General features: G+C 48.5%; 1 protein-coding gene and 1 long non-coding RNA gene across 5 annotated transcripts, besides 3 other annotated features; one reads left to right on the top strand and one right to left on the bottom strand.

Moving 5' to 3' along the window:
• Window positions 1–740: 740 nt before the first annotated feature.
• ADCYAP1 (adenylate cyclase activating polypeptide 1) lies at window positions 741–8,502 on the bottom strand. 4 transcript variants are annotated; one of them, XM_005258081.5, is made up of 6 exons: window positions 8,355–8,502; window positions 7,853–8,152; window positions 7,417–7,527; window positions 5,123–5,254; window positions 4,550–4,648; window positions 741–3,467 (listed from the first exon to the last, which is right to left on the bottom strand). In XM_005258081.5, the coding sequence occupies exons 1-6, from the start codon at window positions 8,468–8,470 to the stop codon at window positions 3,278–3,280; spliced, it is 948 nt and encodes a 315-aa protein (XP_005258138.2). In that variant the 5' UTR covers window positions 8,471–8,502; the 3' UTR covers window positions 741–3,277. The 4 variants fall into 4 exon arrangements, with proteins under 4 accessions (XP_005258138.2, NP_001093203.1, NP_001108.2 ...); NM_001099733.2 differs by lacking the exon at window positions 8,355–8,502 and having other exon boundaries at window positions 7,853–8,042; XM_047437288.1 differs by lacking the exons at window positions 741–3,467; window positions 8,355–8,502 and adding an exon at window positions 3,481–4,368 and having other exon boundaries at window positions 7,853–8,042.
• Window positions 3,032–3,753: an enhancer, noted in NCBI's record as "NANOG-H3K27ac-H3K4me1 hESC enhancer chr18:909161-909882 (GRCh37/hg19 assembly coordinates)". NCBI's record gives its function as "activates a minimal SCP1, AML or CMV promoter by ChIP-STARR-seq in naive H9 embryonic stem cells {active_cell/tissue: H9 hESC(naive)}" and the evidence as "EXISTENCE:reporter gene assay evidence [ECO:0000049][PMID:30033119]".
• Window positions 4,476–5,197: an enhancer, noted in NCBI's record as "H3K27ac-H3K4me1 hESC enhancer chr18:907717-908438 (GRCh37/hg19 assembly coordinates)". NCBI's record gives its function as "activates a minimal SCP1, AML or CMV promoter by ChIP-STARR-seq in primed H9 embryonic stem cells {active_cell/tissue: H9 hESC(primed)}" and the evidence as "EXISTENCE:reporter gene assay evidence [ECO:0000049][PMID:30033119]".
• Window positions 6,261–10,149, top strand: LOC124904340 (uncharacterized). The gene is made up of 2 exons (XR_007066435.1): window positions 6,261–7,831; window positions 8,565–10,149. It is a non-coding gene; the product is annotated as an uncharacterized LOC124904340 (long non-coding RNA).
• Window positions 12,419–12,619: a silencer, noted in NCBI's record as "peak3036 fragment used in MPRA reporter construct". NCBI's record gives its function as "represses an SCP1 promoter by STARR-seq MPRAs in K562 erythroleukemia cells {active_cell/tissue: K562}" and the evidence as "EXISTENCE:reporter gene assay evidence [ECO:0000049][PMID:32103011]".

The following is a 13,238-nucleotide window of genomic DNA, read 5'->3' as shown; positions in this document are numbered from 1 at the left end:
AGTACATTTTCTTTTAAAGGCATCTAATTAACTCTTTACTTACTCATGTTCACGTTCCTTCTACCTAAAGCATTTTAATCAGAGACAGTAGTTTGTATGTCTCTAAACACATTTTAAAACCTCCAAAAACTGATTATTTAGATCATTTTATACAAAATTTTATCAAGACAAGTTTAGTCTGCAGAGTTACTTGTATAAGAACAATGTTAGATCCCTATTTTAGGCTGGGTGTGGTGGCTCACGCCTGTAATCCCAGCACTTTGGGAGGCTGAGGTGGGAGGATCGCTTGAGCAAGACCAGCCTGGGCAACATAGTGAGACCTGGCCACTAAAATAAAAAATAAAAGAACAATGTTAGATTGCTATTTTAGATGTGTAACTAATGCTCCAGCATTGTCTCCCACTACTACCTAGTAACTTTCTGAATATTGAGCAAAGTATATACACACTAGGGGATGGAAATTAATCTAAATTGTGTGTCTTATAATGTTGCAACATCATGCCTGTTTATGAGCTTAAAACCTTCTTAGGCATCTCCATCTGAGTAGCTACTTTAAATTTTTAGCAGAATCCAGTTGCCCATCAATTATTAAAGTGCAGTTCATGAAAATACAAGGGTGCTTAGATAGATATATATTCCAGACGTAAAAAAATCTTATGGTTGCTAAAGAAATATAATACTTTAAGAGATTTTAAAGTAATTATTTCCTGAATGTCTTTTTTCCCAAACATTAGACCAAGTTGCATTGTTTACAAAAATTTATTCATACAAATTTTACACACTTTATATAACAGTTATCAAAGTCCTAGTTATAGATATCATGTGTGTAATAATACTTGGTTAAGGTGTTTTTATAATCAGTTGCACACAAAATAAGAGCTTCAAGACTAACATCTACCTAAATTATCACTATATCATAAATCTGCTTCAGTTTAGTAAGGCTCTTGGCATTTCTAAAAAGTATACAAAAGATTAAACTGGGTGATCACTGTAAAATGCTTGCAACTAGCCACGGGAACACTAAATTAGACTTCATAAATAAAAGGTTAACTAGAGCCCTATTTCACCACTAACAGCTGATACAAATACAGAAAACTCTGCCCATTATCCAAGAAACAAATAATTAAGACTAAAATGCAAGCTGATGTGTTGCAGCATTGTAGGGCCACTAAATAGCCATCTGTGATTCGTGGCAATTTAAAAGGCGAAGAAAGGCACTAAAGCTGCAAACTGCATCCCGTGTCACATTGCCTGAGGAGACTGCGGAATTAAAGGAAGATTGATCCTATACACAGGACTCAGGCATAGACCGAATGCCTCTGTTTTCACTATTTGCAATGTGATCTCCTGGCAGCATCCATCCCGCCTGGGAATGCAAATCCAATTCTGTTTTCTTTGATTTATGACTTCATACTGATCAAATCCGTAAAGGAAAAGGAAAGGTCCTTTAAACTTTACAAGCTAACGTTTAATCTTTCCTTGTTCTTTTTTTTTTCTTCTTCTTCATCTTCTTTTTTCAAAACATAAAAAAATAAATAAATAAACTTGTGCCTGAAATTTGGGAGATTGGCTGGCTGGTTTGTCTGTTGCTGCTCGATCTGATTGCTGGGTGAAGGTTCTTTTGTTTATAAAGATTACTCTGTATGTTCAAAGAATTGACAGGAAACAGACATGCTTTCTTTAGCCAAAGAAAGGATACAAGCGTAGGTTCTCAGGGTCTGTTGGAGCTTGCTTACCTCACTCTTGACCACAGATATAAGATAGTACTCATACATATGAAGAAGAGGATTAAATGATTTATCAGTTAGCAAAACTGAGCAACATGTGAACACTACACATTCTAATATGACAAAGGTTGGTTTTATGAAATAAATTTTACTAAGCAATAAGCAATAATGTAGAAAAATACATTTTACCTACAAACTCAATAAACAAGAAACAAAGGGTTCATATTTAGTGCATAATTACTTACTAGTGGCTACAGAGGGGTTTCTAAAATTTACAATAAGTGCCTGCATCAAACAAAAAAAAAAAGTGAGAAGCATTCACAAGTTTAAGAGAAGTGAATGAAAAATGGTAAACAGTACTTAAACAGTGCAGGAGGGTAGGAAGGAGAGGTCTCCATAAAACCACAAAGGAAAAGGGTAGCTCCTACAGAGCAGGTTTCAAAGGAGAGGATCCTGGCCATTTCACAAGATGAGAAGCATGGACAGCACTGGAGAAAAACACATTGTACTTTGCATCCATTTCCAATACCCAGCGCCCAAAGTCAGGACCATTGGGACTGGATTTGCCCTCAGCTTCCCAGACCTGGGGCAATCTCAAACCAGTCCATTTCCAGGGTCCTCCTCCTACCACCTCAGGCTCTGCCTCTTCCAATATACCTCTATGTCCTTCACTTTGTTCCAATTGCCCTAATTTGGGGATATTAGATTCCCTGGCCACTCAGGAAGTACAGAAAAGAGAGCGGTCTAACGAAGCCGCCCTTTTCTGTACAGTTCCTCAACTCTTCTCCTAGGGAGAGGCGTGAATTCTGGGGAGAAGCACAATTTGGATCGAGCTGTTGTTTTATCAGGAGAATTTTCTTCTGGGCTGAGAGTCTGAAGAGAGACAACTACACATAAAAGGAGAATCAAAGAAAGCAGAAATATTGGAATTGCCACCCAACCAGGGGGACAGAGCCCAGTTGAGTTAGGCTGGGATTGAAGCAGCCTGCCCCAGAGACTCACTGGGAAAGAATGCCCTTCAGCAATTCTCCATATCTTTACCTCAAAATCTCCCTGGAGCAGGGCATCATTGTTTATGTACAGTAGCAAATGGTAAGTAGTAATATCTTCAGGCCTGTCATGGATAAAAATACTATCCTTTTAATTCCAGTTTACAAAAATAGGAGTAATATTCAAAACAATGATTGTCTACTTTTCTATTTATTTTTATAAAAACATAAACAGCTCGGGCGAATTTTCAATCCTTGTGCACGCTTTGTATGAACTTCTCTCTATACTTTATATATATATATATATATATATATATATATATTCTTTATATATATTTATAATATATATCAATAATTGGTCCACAAAGTATATCTGTGCATTCTCTAGTGCTTTGTAGAAAGAAAAACAATATTATTATCAAAATATTCATTTAATGGCTTTACTTCATTACATAAATACATGTTTGGATAGAACACACGAGCGATGACTGTTGAGTCAGTTTGGAAAACGACTTTTCATTGCGTCAGGGCTGTATACACAGGGTAGCTGGTAACCCATCGCTACAAATAAGCTATTCGGCGTCCTTTGTTTTTAACCCTTTGTTTATACCTCTTCCCTAGGACGGCCGCCAAGTATTTCTTGACAGCCATTTGTTTCCGGTAGCGGCTGTAGCTGTCCGTGAAGATCCCGTCCGAGTGGCGCTTGGAGAGCGGCTCCGCGTCGTCCCCCGCGCCGCCGCCGAGGCTCCCACTGCAAGCAAAGGGGTCGGGAAGAGGGTGGCGGGGCGGGAGACACAGGTTCAATCGCCGCGGGGAGCAGGCGGGCCCCACCCCACGCGGGAGCCTTCGGGGAGGGCCCGGGGCTCGCACTGCCCACCGCGTCGCCCGCCTCTGCCTGGAAGCAGCCGTGGGGAGGGCCGAGACGGCAGCCCCTCGATGCCCCCCTCCCCACGCAGGATCTCCTGGCACCAAACCCTGCGGAGGGGGCCCGGGATAAGATCCGGGCAGGCGACGCGCGCTTCAAGCCTAACCTTTCTCCCAGCGCTGCCCCCTTGAGATCCGACCCTTCGTGTGTTTGCGCTAAATTGTCCTCGCTGTTCCTCTCACCCGCGACATACAGAGAAAGTAACCGGAGAGCCCTACATATGCCAGTCTGGCTGCTGCCCTGGAGTTTGCATCGATCCTGCAATTCCTAGTCAAATATGAACACTCCTCTCCCTCCTCACGCCGAGTTGAAAAACGTGATAATAATATAAGTCGACAGGCTGTAGGCAATATTTTTCACTGCATGACTTATTCATGGCGAAAATGTAATCTGTTTTCCCACGGGCTTTATTAGAATGTTGCCTTCTGCCGAGATAGGCTTCACACAAGCCCTGTGCTCTCAGTTTCTCTGGCGTGAGCAAAACTGTTTGGGTCCATAAGTGTCCACATTTGGCCATTTATTATTTCGATTTGAATTTTCAGTAAATACAACCACCCCTTTCCCCTCCCCCAGAAACAGTCATGCTTAGAGAAAATTATAGCAAAACCTCCCTGGAAGCCTGAAGGTTTTGGATGACTGAGAGGTTTGGTTTGGTTTCTCTTTCTTTTCATTCAAAACGGATCAAACTCCCTGGCTCGCGTTCCCTTTTTGCCTCTTCCAGAGCTCTCTGGGCAAATTTAAAGTGCCACTTCAAAATCTCCAACTGCGACCCGTGGCGGATGCCCACCCCAGACCCAGGGGCGCAGACTCACCCTGGCCCCCACGGGCACCCACCGCCGCCCGCCCCGCGCGCCCCGCACAGGCACCCACCCCGGCGCGCGCAGGTTAATCCTTCCACAAACTCTTACCCCACGCCCCGGGCCACGAGCGACTGCAGGTGCTTCCCGGCGGACAGCTGGTCCAGCACTTTGCGGTAGGCCTCGTTAAGGATCCCGTGGGCGACATCTCTAACGGGGAGGCAAAGTGCGCGCCCAGGGTCACTGTTTCTGTCCCCAGGTGGCCGCTAGAGACCCCCTTGTTGGGCGCGCGCCCCCTCGGCGGCCGGGGAGGCTGACAGGGAAACCTCCAGAGGCCCAGAACTCGCCAATAACTCCCGGGATGATCTCGAGAGCAACTGCTAGGATCGGGAGCTAGTCCCGGCTCTAGGAGTGGCAGATGCGGAGTGTGGGTTCCTTGACGCCACTCACTGCCACTCTTTGGGCCACAGCCCCCCTCGGTCCCCACGCGGCCCTCAGGTCCACACAGACCCGCCCGCTGCTGATTTTCTGTCGCTGCAATAGGATCGGGCCAGGGAGAGGACAGGCTTGAGGACTTTCACGGGAAAAAAAAAAAAATCCTGGGTGGGTCACCACACTGCCCCTCCCGTCACCGCAGTCCCGAGCTCCCAGCCGCGGGTGTGCGCGAGGCCGCGCGAATCTCACCTTCTCCCGGCCGGGCGGTACCAGGCGGCGGCGGCGCGCGGCGCGGAGGCGGGGCTCCCTGCGCCCGGCGGCTCCGAGCCATCGAAGTCTGGCAGCGGGTTTCCGTCCTCGCCGTACGCCTCTTCCTCTGGCCTGCGGGGTGGCCGGGGACAGAAGGTGTGGTCAGTGCAAGTTCCTCCCCAGCTCGGCGAGGATCCAAAGTAAGGGGCTCGCGCGGATTTTCACAGGTGATAAAAGTCCTCCGCTGAGAATTGTCTCTTCTCCCAGGACTGGGGGTGGGAGCAGAGGTAAGGAGGAGGCAACGACACCCAACCACTCCTACCCCGCCGGGCGGCCCGCCCACCCCCCCTTCGCGGGTAAAGGGTCGTCCTGCGGGCCACGGCCTCAACAAGCGCTGGGAAACCGAGGCGTCTCCGCCGATCGCGCACACCTGTCTACGGAAAAGGACCGCCCCCCTCCCCGCCTGGCTCCCGAGCCTCCCCAAAGCAGCAACGGGCGGGGACGAGAAAGGCCCTGGGAGACCGGGCGCTGACCCACGCGAAGACCCGAATGGGGAGGCCCAGAAAGCAAAGGAGAGGATGCGTGGGGCGTGCGGGGGCCAACTCCTCAGCCACCCCCACCCCAGCCTCCGAGCCCAGGGGAGCCCTTCTCCGAGCAGATGTAGGTCACGGAGAACCTCGGTTTCTATTTTGGGCAGGCGAGGATCTGGCAGGAACATGAATAATAAATGCCCCTAAACTTAGCCAGTTCGGCGGCGGCTCAGACTGTGGCGCGTCCGCACCCTCCGGTGCTTCTCGCACGGAGAAAGTGCCAGGCACACGGGAACTTGAAAATAGCTGAGGGTGAAACCAGGGTGTTTTAAGGCCACTAAACGAATAGTTCGCGCTGATCTGTTATCGATGGCGGTGCCCCATCTCAACCCCAGAGCACGAGGAGGGGGACCGAGATCCAGCGAGTGCCTGGCGACTTCGCAGTCGCCCTCTACAGCCTCCGTTCTTGACACAGGACGGGTAGAGATGGGTTAAAACAAATCCCTCTCGCTTTGGACCCCTGGAGAGACTTGGCGTGCAGCCAGCGCTAGTAGCACTCTCTGGGCGGGGTTGGAGTCGTACTTCGCTGCTTCACTCGCCTTTTCTCCATCCTTGGAGAGGCCCGGGCAAGGCAAGCGCATCATTCCGCACGCCTCGCACCCAGCCTTTGCTCGGCGATGCGCCTCAGCCCTGGCCCGGGTACCCCGAACCCTGGGGTCTTTCTGGATATTGCCCTGCCTCGAGCCCAGATGCTGGAATCCTAATACAGAACCCAGAACCCATCTCTCCGTCCAAATCAATGATCAGCGGCCCCCCAGAGCTAATGTTCCTGGGCGGGGCTCGGAGAAGGCAGCTTCGCAGGCAGAACGCGCGCTCCTCGCTGCCCCAGGCGCCGCTGGTACGAACCCTCCCCTACCCAGGGCTCATCCACAGCCTGGCACATCGGTCCGCGACTCTGGGGCTGCCTCCGGGAACCTGGGCCGCGCCTGCCGGTTAGAAACCCGGGGTTAAGAAAAAAGCCAAGGTTCCTCCATCCCGGGCCAGGCAGGGCTGCTCTCCCGGTCCTGCCTGCCTGCTGGCTTTCCCTTCCTCCTCCTTTGCGCCTGTTTTTCCCCCTCCTTCGCAGTCTCGTCCTTGTTCTTCCCTCTCTTAAGTCGCTTTTCCTCAATCACACCGGGCCAACACCCTCCCCACCGCACGCCCCCCAAGACAGCCTGGGATTCAAAATGCAGTTGGAACACGGATCACTTGAAAGAAAGCTCTTCAGGGGAAAGAATTGGAATGAAATGAAAAGAAAGGGTGGAGGAGAGAGAGAGACCCCACCCGGATAGTCCAGAACAAGCAGTAACAAAGCAAAGTCCGAGGGAGCTTCACGCTCAACCCCCGGCCAGGCTCCAGAGCTGAAGTTCTCCTAACTCGTCCCAAGAATAGGTAAAAGAAACCAAGCTAGGGGCCGTGCCCTGCCCCCATCCTGTGGGCCGGGTTGGGGGAGGGGGGGTTCTCCAGCGGCCAGAAGCTCACTGGCTCTACCCGGGACCCTGAGCTGCCTAGGGCTGGGGGAGGCGTCCGAGCAGTCGCGGAGCCTGCCAGACCCTCGGCTAGAATGGGGACCCGCTGTCCAGCCGAGGCTGGCGGAGGCGCACCGGGGGCGCAGAGGGCGATGCTAGTAGTCTGGACCCAAAGGACTGCAGGAAGGAGACCGTGAGGAAGCGTCTGTGCCTGGGAAGCCCCAGCTCCTGCTTGGGCCAGGCAGCCAGCACCTACCTGATCCCGGGGAACCGGAGTCCGGCGGCGGCAGGTGAGCTGTAGACGCTGCTGTGCATGATTATCCCATAGACCAGCAGGGCCAGCCTCGCTCCGCTACACATGGTCATTCTGCGCAGGATGGGAAAGAGGACACACAGCTGTGAGAACGCCCCTGGCCTCCCACCCTCCAACCCCAAAAAGCTCTGGAAGCCGGGGGAGGGACGGAGCGAAGCCCCGGCTCCCTGAGTTGAACAGCACTTGGCGACAGCCGGTGCGCGCCCTGCCACTTCTTGCTTGCTATAGTTAGAAAAAAATATATATATATGCATCTACCCGGCGCCCAATAACTAGCCAGACCCGGCTGAAGGAAAGCTAACTCCCCTGACGCGATGCCAAGCGAAAGAATCAGCAGTCGAGTGAGCCGGTCGCTTTGGTAAGATTTTCCCTCCCTTACCCTTCAACTCCTCCCGCTGCCAGGAGAGCTGCCAGGTAGGACGGCGGGCAAAGCGCTTCTTCAAGTTCCTGCGCTGGAGTCACCACCCGAGAGGCATCGCCGTCTGGCGTTGGTGTCTGAGCAGAAGCCGCAGGAACCAGCGGGAGCAGCAGGAGGAGCTGCGGGACTCGTTTGCCGAGGCTCGTGTTCTGCTCAAAAGTTTGTAGACGCGCAGAACCAGGAGGGAGCGTGACACGGAGAGAAGGGGGCGCAGAGAGAGAGGCAGAAGAAAGAAAGAGGGGGCGATGAGGTGAAGCGCGGAGGAGCAAGGTGGCCGTAAGTCCACCCGGAGGAAGAAGCAGGCGATTAAGGGAAAGAGGGAAAGTCAGAAAAGAAGGGGAGGAAGGCAAGGGAGAGGGCGGGCGGCTAGCCCGCCTTTGTAGGAGCCGCGGGCCAGGCAGCCGCGAGGGTCGGCGGCGCCTTCTCTGCTCCGAGGTCTCTCCGGCTGCCTCTGAAGCTGCGGCTTCTGCTGCTGCTACCGCTGGTTACAGAGGTGACCGGCCTTCTGCTCCTATTTATCTGTGCAGTTCGCAAAAATCTATCCGAACATGGTTTTTGGAGAGCCCTCTTTGTCAACATCTGCCTGCCTGTTGCCTTTAAGTACAGAATATTTTGTTGCACTGTTGCGCTCCGATTTTTATTCATGAAATGACTTCCTTTTTTTTTTTCTCAGTCACGTAATGATCGGGTATCAGAAAAAGACGTCAGCATCCTAGTCCCTCAAGGAACATATTAACTATTCTGTGCTGTCCTCTTGGATGATAAGATCCGGAGTCATCGACTTCTCATAAACACCTTTCACTCATACAATCCAATTTTTAAGAAGTCCAATTGTTTTGATGGTTTTCAATTTCACCCGTTTCTCAAGGACAGGTAAAGAATTTTTAGAATTTTGAGGATGACAAAAGTTATGTTTTTAACTATATAATTACGATTTCTCTTTACTTTTTCATCAAGCCTCACCAATCAGAGCTCTGGTCTCTGGAATTAAGCATCATCAAGCTCTCCTATTAATAAATTTAATTTAGATCTCCTAATTTCTTGCGTATGTTCTTTCAGATAGACCATTAAATGTGGAAGTCGTTTTGTTTTTAAAGGGAAGTCTTGGAGGATTTTCAGTAAATCTCTCCTGAGTCTGGCTGCCGTTGACAGTAGGGCTATGAGTAGATTGATGAGAGCTCATGCTGCCTCCGGAGCGCGGCCTGCGGAGCTGTCCAGACTCCGGGTGCTGAAGTGTAGGGTAACAGATGCTACAAACGTTGAAAATTGCCACCGGTTTAATTTTTCACCAGAGCCTCTAAATTTGAAGATTTGGCAGTAGTGCTATTAACGTGGCGATTCATCGCCTAAATCACCCCCACCGTTCAGATACATCCTTTCCCTCTTGTAGCGTCCATAAATGCCCTAATGCTGAGAATGCTCCCCATCCCTGCCTGGATTTGAGGAAAAAGCATTCTGTCCCCCGTTAGTCCTGGCTTTTGGATTTCTAGACCGGCTGTTTGGCTACTTTCACACCTTCTGTGGCTCTTACAGATTTTAAAAATTGATGTTGTGAAATTGTGTTTTCCACAAGAAGTGAAATTTTAAGAATTTGGGGGCGAGAAATATGTTTTTCCACTTTGTTTACAACTTCAGCTCTGTTTGGGAGACACAGACAGACTGGGAAAGCATGAGGGTTCCCAGTACAAGTTCACCTGATGAAGGTTTCTAACAGGAATCCCTCTGCTGGAAACAGTTAATTTTTTTAACTGAAAATGATGTGGGAAGAGGAAAGCAATAAGGGAAGACCATATCCACCCAGAGGCTTCCAATTTCCTGGGTAATTGAAGAAGGTTCATATATTTCTACTCCAGTAAGAGAACTCAGGTCTATTTCTTTAAAAAAAAAAAAAAGAAGAAGAAGAAAGAAAGAAAGAAAATAGAGCCATCAATAACCATTAGAGTGCATTTTAATTATTTGGATCTTACACAAAAATTAGGGGAAATTCCAGTTTAGTGGGAGGGTTTCCTGTTACTACGATTTGGATCTCACATTTAAATAAGCTATATTAGTTCTGCATGCTTTTTCCAAGATATTATATTTCTCCTTCTAAATGCTGTTCCTGCTCTTATTTGAGATTTAATACTTCCTCCTTCTTAAAAAAAAAAACTAAGTTTTGTTTATTCCTGGCCATGAATGACCGAAAACTGTCTGCTTCCTCTTAGTTTATTCCTGGCCGTGCTTCAGATTGTCTGCCTTCAATAAAGCTTCAAACCACATCTACATGGGAATATGTCTCTTTTTCTCTGATACATATGCTCACTGATTTATGTTGGACTGTTTACATGCGTGTTTTCCATGTTCAGCTCTGCCTCTGCAGCAAGCTCGCACACAAAGAGCCTGCGGTGAACACTACCAGATAATCAAGCAGAGATGTCTTTCTTACTAAAGCGCCCAAAGCTATTCCCCACTGTGGCTTTCCTGTCTTCCGCCTTGCTTCACGTCAAAGGTGAACCCCATTAAAATCCTTACTCTTTCCTCCCACACGAATTCTGAGTTGAGTTCAATCTGGAGAAATATTTGAAAATTTCCAAGACTCCTTGTACAATTCACTACTCAACTTTAGTAAAGGGAGCCACCATGTGGGGAGTTTGCTGACTTCACGGCCCATTAAAGGGGGAAAACCACAAACACGATTAACTATCTGGGGAGGACGACTAACTGCTGGCTCCAAGGGCCAACAGAGGCTGAACTGTGCCTCTGACTTACCAAGGCTGCGACCCCGTGCTCTTCTCAGCTTAGATACTCTCAGCTCAGAACTCGGGGCTCAGCACCCAAAAATTACAGGCCTTCAGACCTGAACCCATTCACGAGAGTGAAAGACTAAACAGAGAACTTGAGATTCTTGGTCACTGAACTCCAGAAAATCAAGCTTCCTAGACCCACCAATTGCTCAACACAATCTAAAGACCCACACAGCCCTGCCCACAGCAGCCTGGGGGAATCAAACTCCTACAGGATCACCCACAGATCTTTTGTTGCTCATGGCCATTGTCTAGCTGGGCATGTTTGACATCTCTCTGCAGGAGAGCTTTCCTATTCATGAAAATCTGGCCTTGGCCCTGGGCCAAGGGAAAAGGCCAATAGATAGGAGGAACTAGAAGCTGCTAGATGAGAGTATAGGCCCCTTCTGCTTTCTATTGGGTAGAGGGAATATGGGATGACTGAAGTCTCAAAGACCAAAACTACCCCCAAATGCCCCTTTGATTCTAATCTTGGAAGGCTCCAGTCAAGCATTAACAGAGCATCCTGGAGGCCTTTGTGTCTGGGACTTTGAGGGAGCTGCAAGGAAGAGGGAACTTGTCAGCCCAAAGCCCCAGGCTAGAGAGACCAGGAGCCCCGGCATGCACTGAGGAGGCATGCGGCAGTGGCCAGGTGGGATACCGTGGCCCAGTCCAACAGACATACTAATTGCAAGTGCAGACCCCAGCCTGGCTTCAAGTGCAGATAGGAGCTGGAGGGTGAATCCTAGGAAGCCTCAACTAAAGCACTTTTATGAGAAGAGAGAGAGATAAAGGGAGGAGGAGCTAGAGGAGAATTGGGGAAGAGCAAGACCAGGGTAGGAGAGCCTTCCACTTTAATTGTTCTTACCCAGTTTCCCTCACAAAGGGTATTTAGGTGACTGGGGTTAAGAGCTCAAGAGAAACTTTCCAACCTCCTATATATAATTGAAAATGATGAAAGAGGGGGTTGGGGGAGAGGAGGAAGAAGAGACCAAAGAGTTAGAACGTTCTATTTACAGATAACACAAAGGAATTTCAAGTCTTCTTTCCAACACCCCTACTCCCTTCCCTCAGTGCTCACCAGAATACTTCCCAGGCCAGAAAAGTAGATTTCCCAGGCTGGCAGTTTCTTTCCAGGCTGTGAGATTGTTACATTAACTGGAATCATGTTTGGCTAGAAAAGTTAGAAGAACAATGGAAATCTTTCAGTGGGAGGTCTAACCAGCATCCTCCCTGAGGCACAGCAACTGAAAGTGACTTGAGCTAAGCCCTGACCTGCCCGGAAGACGCTGTTTATATATATTTGTTGGAAATGATTTAATAATACTCTGAACTTCAAGTCCCTAATGTATCAACTTTTATCCTGTTGGTCCTTCAGATGTGAAAACAAGTTTGGGTAAGAAATGATAAATAATAGCTAAAAGTCAAACTAACCCTTCCCCGAATTGTTTTTCCTGGTGGCTAACACATCCGCCTTTGTTGAAGGGTCAATCCTTGAACCTTGAATTAACATTCAATTTAAAGAACTCTAGCCTTTGAGGAAGTGGGTTTTTGTATTCAAACAGGAGGAATATGTCTAGTATATATACTGGGAGTTTGAATTGCAGATGGCTTCACAACATTAGCAAATACTATAGTGTTTGTACTGTTGTGTCTGTGCCAGGTTCCTGCCTTTGGACCATCACCACTTGGGAAATTGGCTTTCCCTCTCTTGCATGGGAATCTTCAGCATCTTTTAAACACTGCTCCCCTCCATCCCCATATTGCAAATCAGTGGTGAGCTAAAAGTATTTTTGCCTTTAAGCAGCCCAGTGAAGTGCGGCTTCTGGTCACTTAGATAAGATTTCCACTACTTTCTTTTTGGCTCAGTCACCCATAGTACCCAGGGTTTCTCCATGACATTCTCTTTCCTTAGGTACATATCTCTACACCATTACCTTTTACTACCACTATCTCTATATCCTACAACATTTGATTTTCTTAACCATATAAAAGGACATGTTTGTTCAAGGCATCCTCACACATTCCTAGTATAAATAATCTAAATCAAGATTGGAAAAGTTGTGCATTCTTTTTTTTTTTTTTTTTTGAGATGAAGTCTCGCTCTGTCCCCCAGGCTGGAGTGCAGTGGCACAATCTCGGCTCACTGCCACCTCCGCCTCCCAGGTTCAAGTGATTCTCCTGTCTCAGCCTCCCAAGCAGCTGGGACTACAGGCACCCACCACCACACCCTGCTAATTTTTGTATTTTTAGTACAGACAGAGTTTCACCGTGTTCGCCAGGCTGGTCTCGAACTCCTGACCTTGTGATCCACCTGCCTCAGCCTTTCAAAGTAATGGGATTACAGGCGTGAGCCACCGTGCCTGGCACATTCTATTCTTTTTTAGCCAGTACTTAGCATAAGAACCAGGCTATAATAAGCTTTTTCAGTAAACAAGCCTGATGCAAAACATCATCCTCTCCTGTGAGTGACAAAAGTGAATTATAACACTGTATTACATTTCACTTAAACTTTTCTCTACCGACTTTTCCAGAAAATGCAATGACTAATGACTCACTTCATACCGATTACACCTGTAGGGAAA

The sequence above is a fragment of the Homo sapiens genome, chromosome 18, assembly GCF_000001405.40.
Source record: "Homo sapiens chromosome 18, GRCh38.p14 Primary Assembly".
Taxonomy (NCBI): Eukaryota; Metazoa; Chordata; class Mammalia; order Primates; family Hominidae; genus Homo; species Homo sapiens.
Note: the sequence above shows the minus strand (reverse complement) of the source record. Positions and strands in the feature narration are given on the sequence as shown.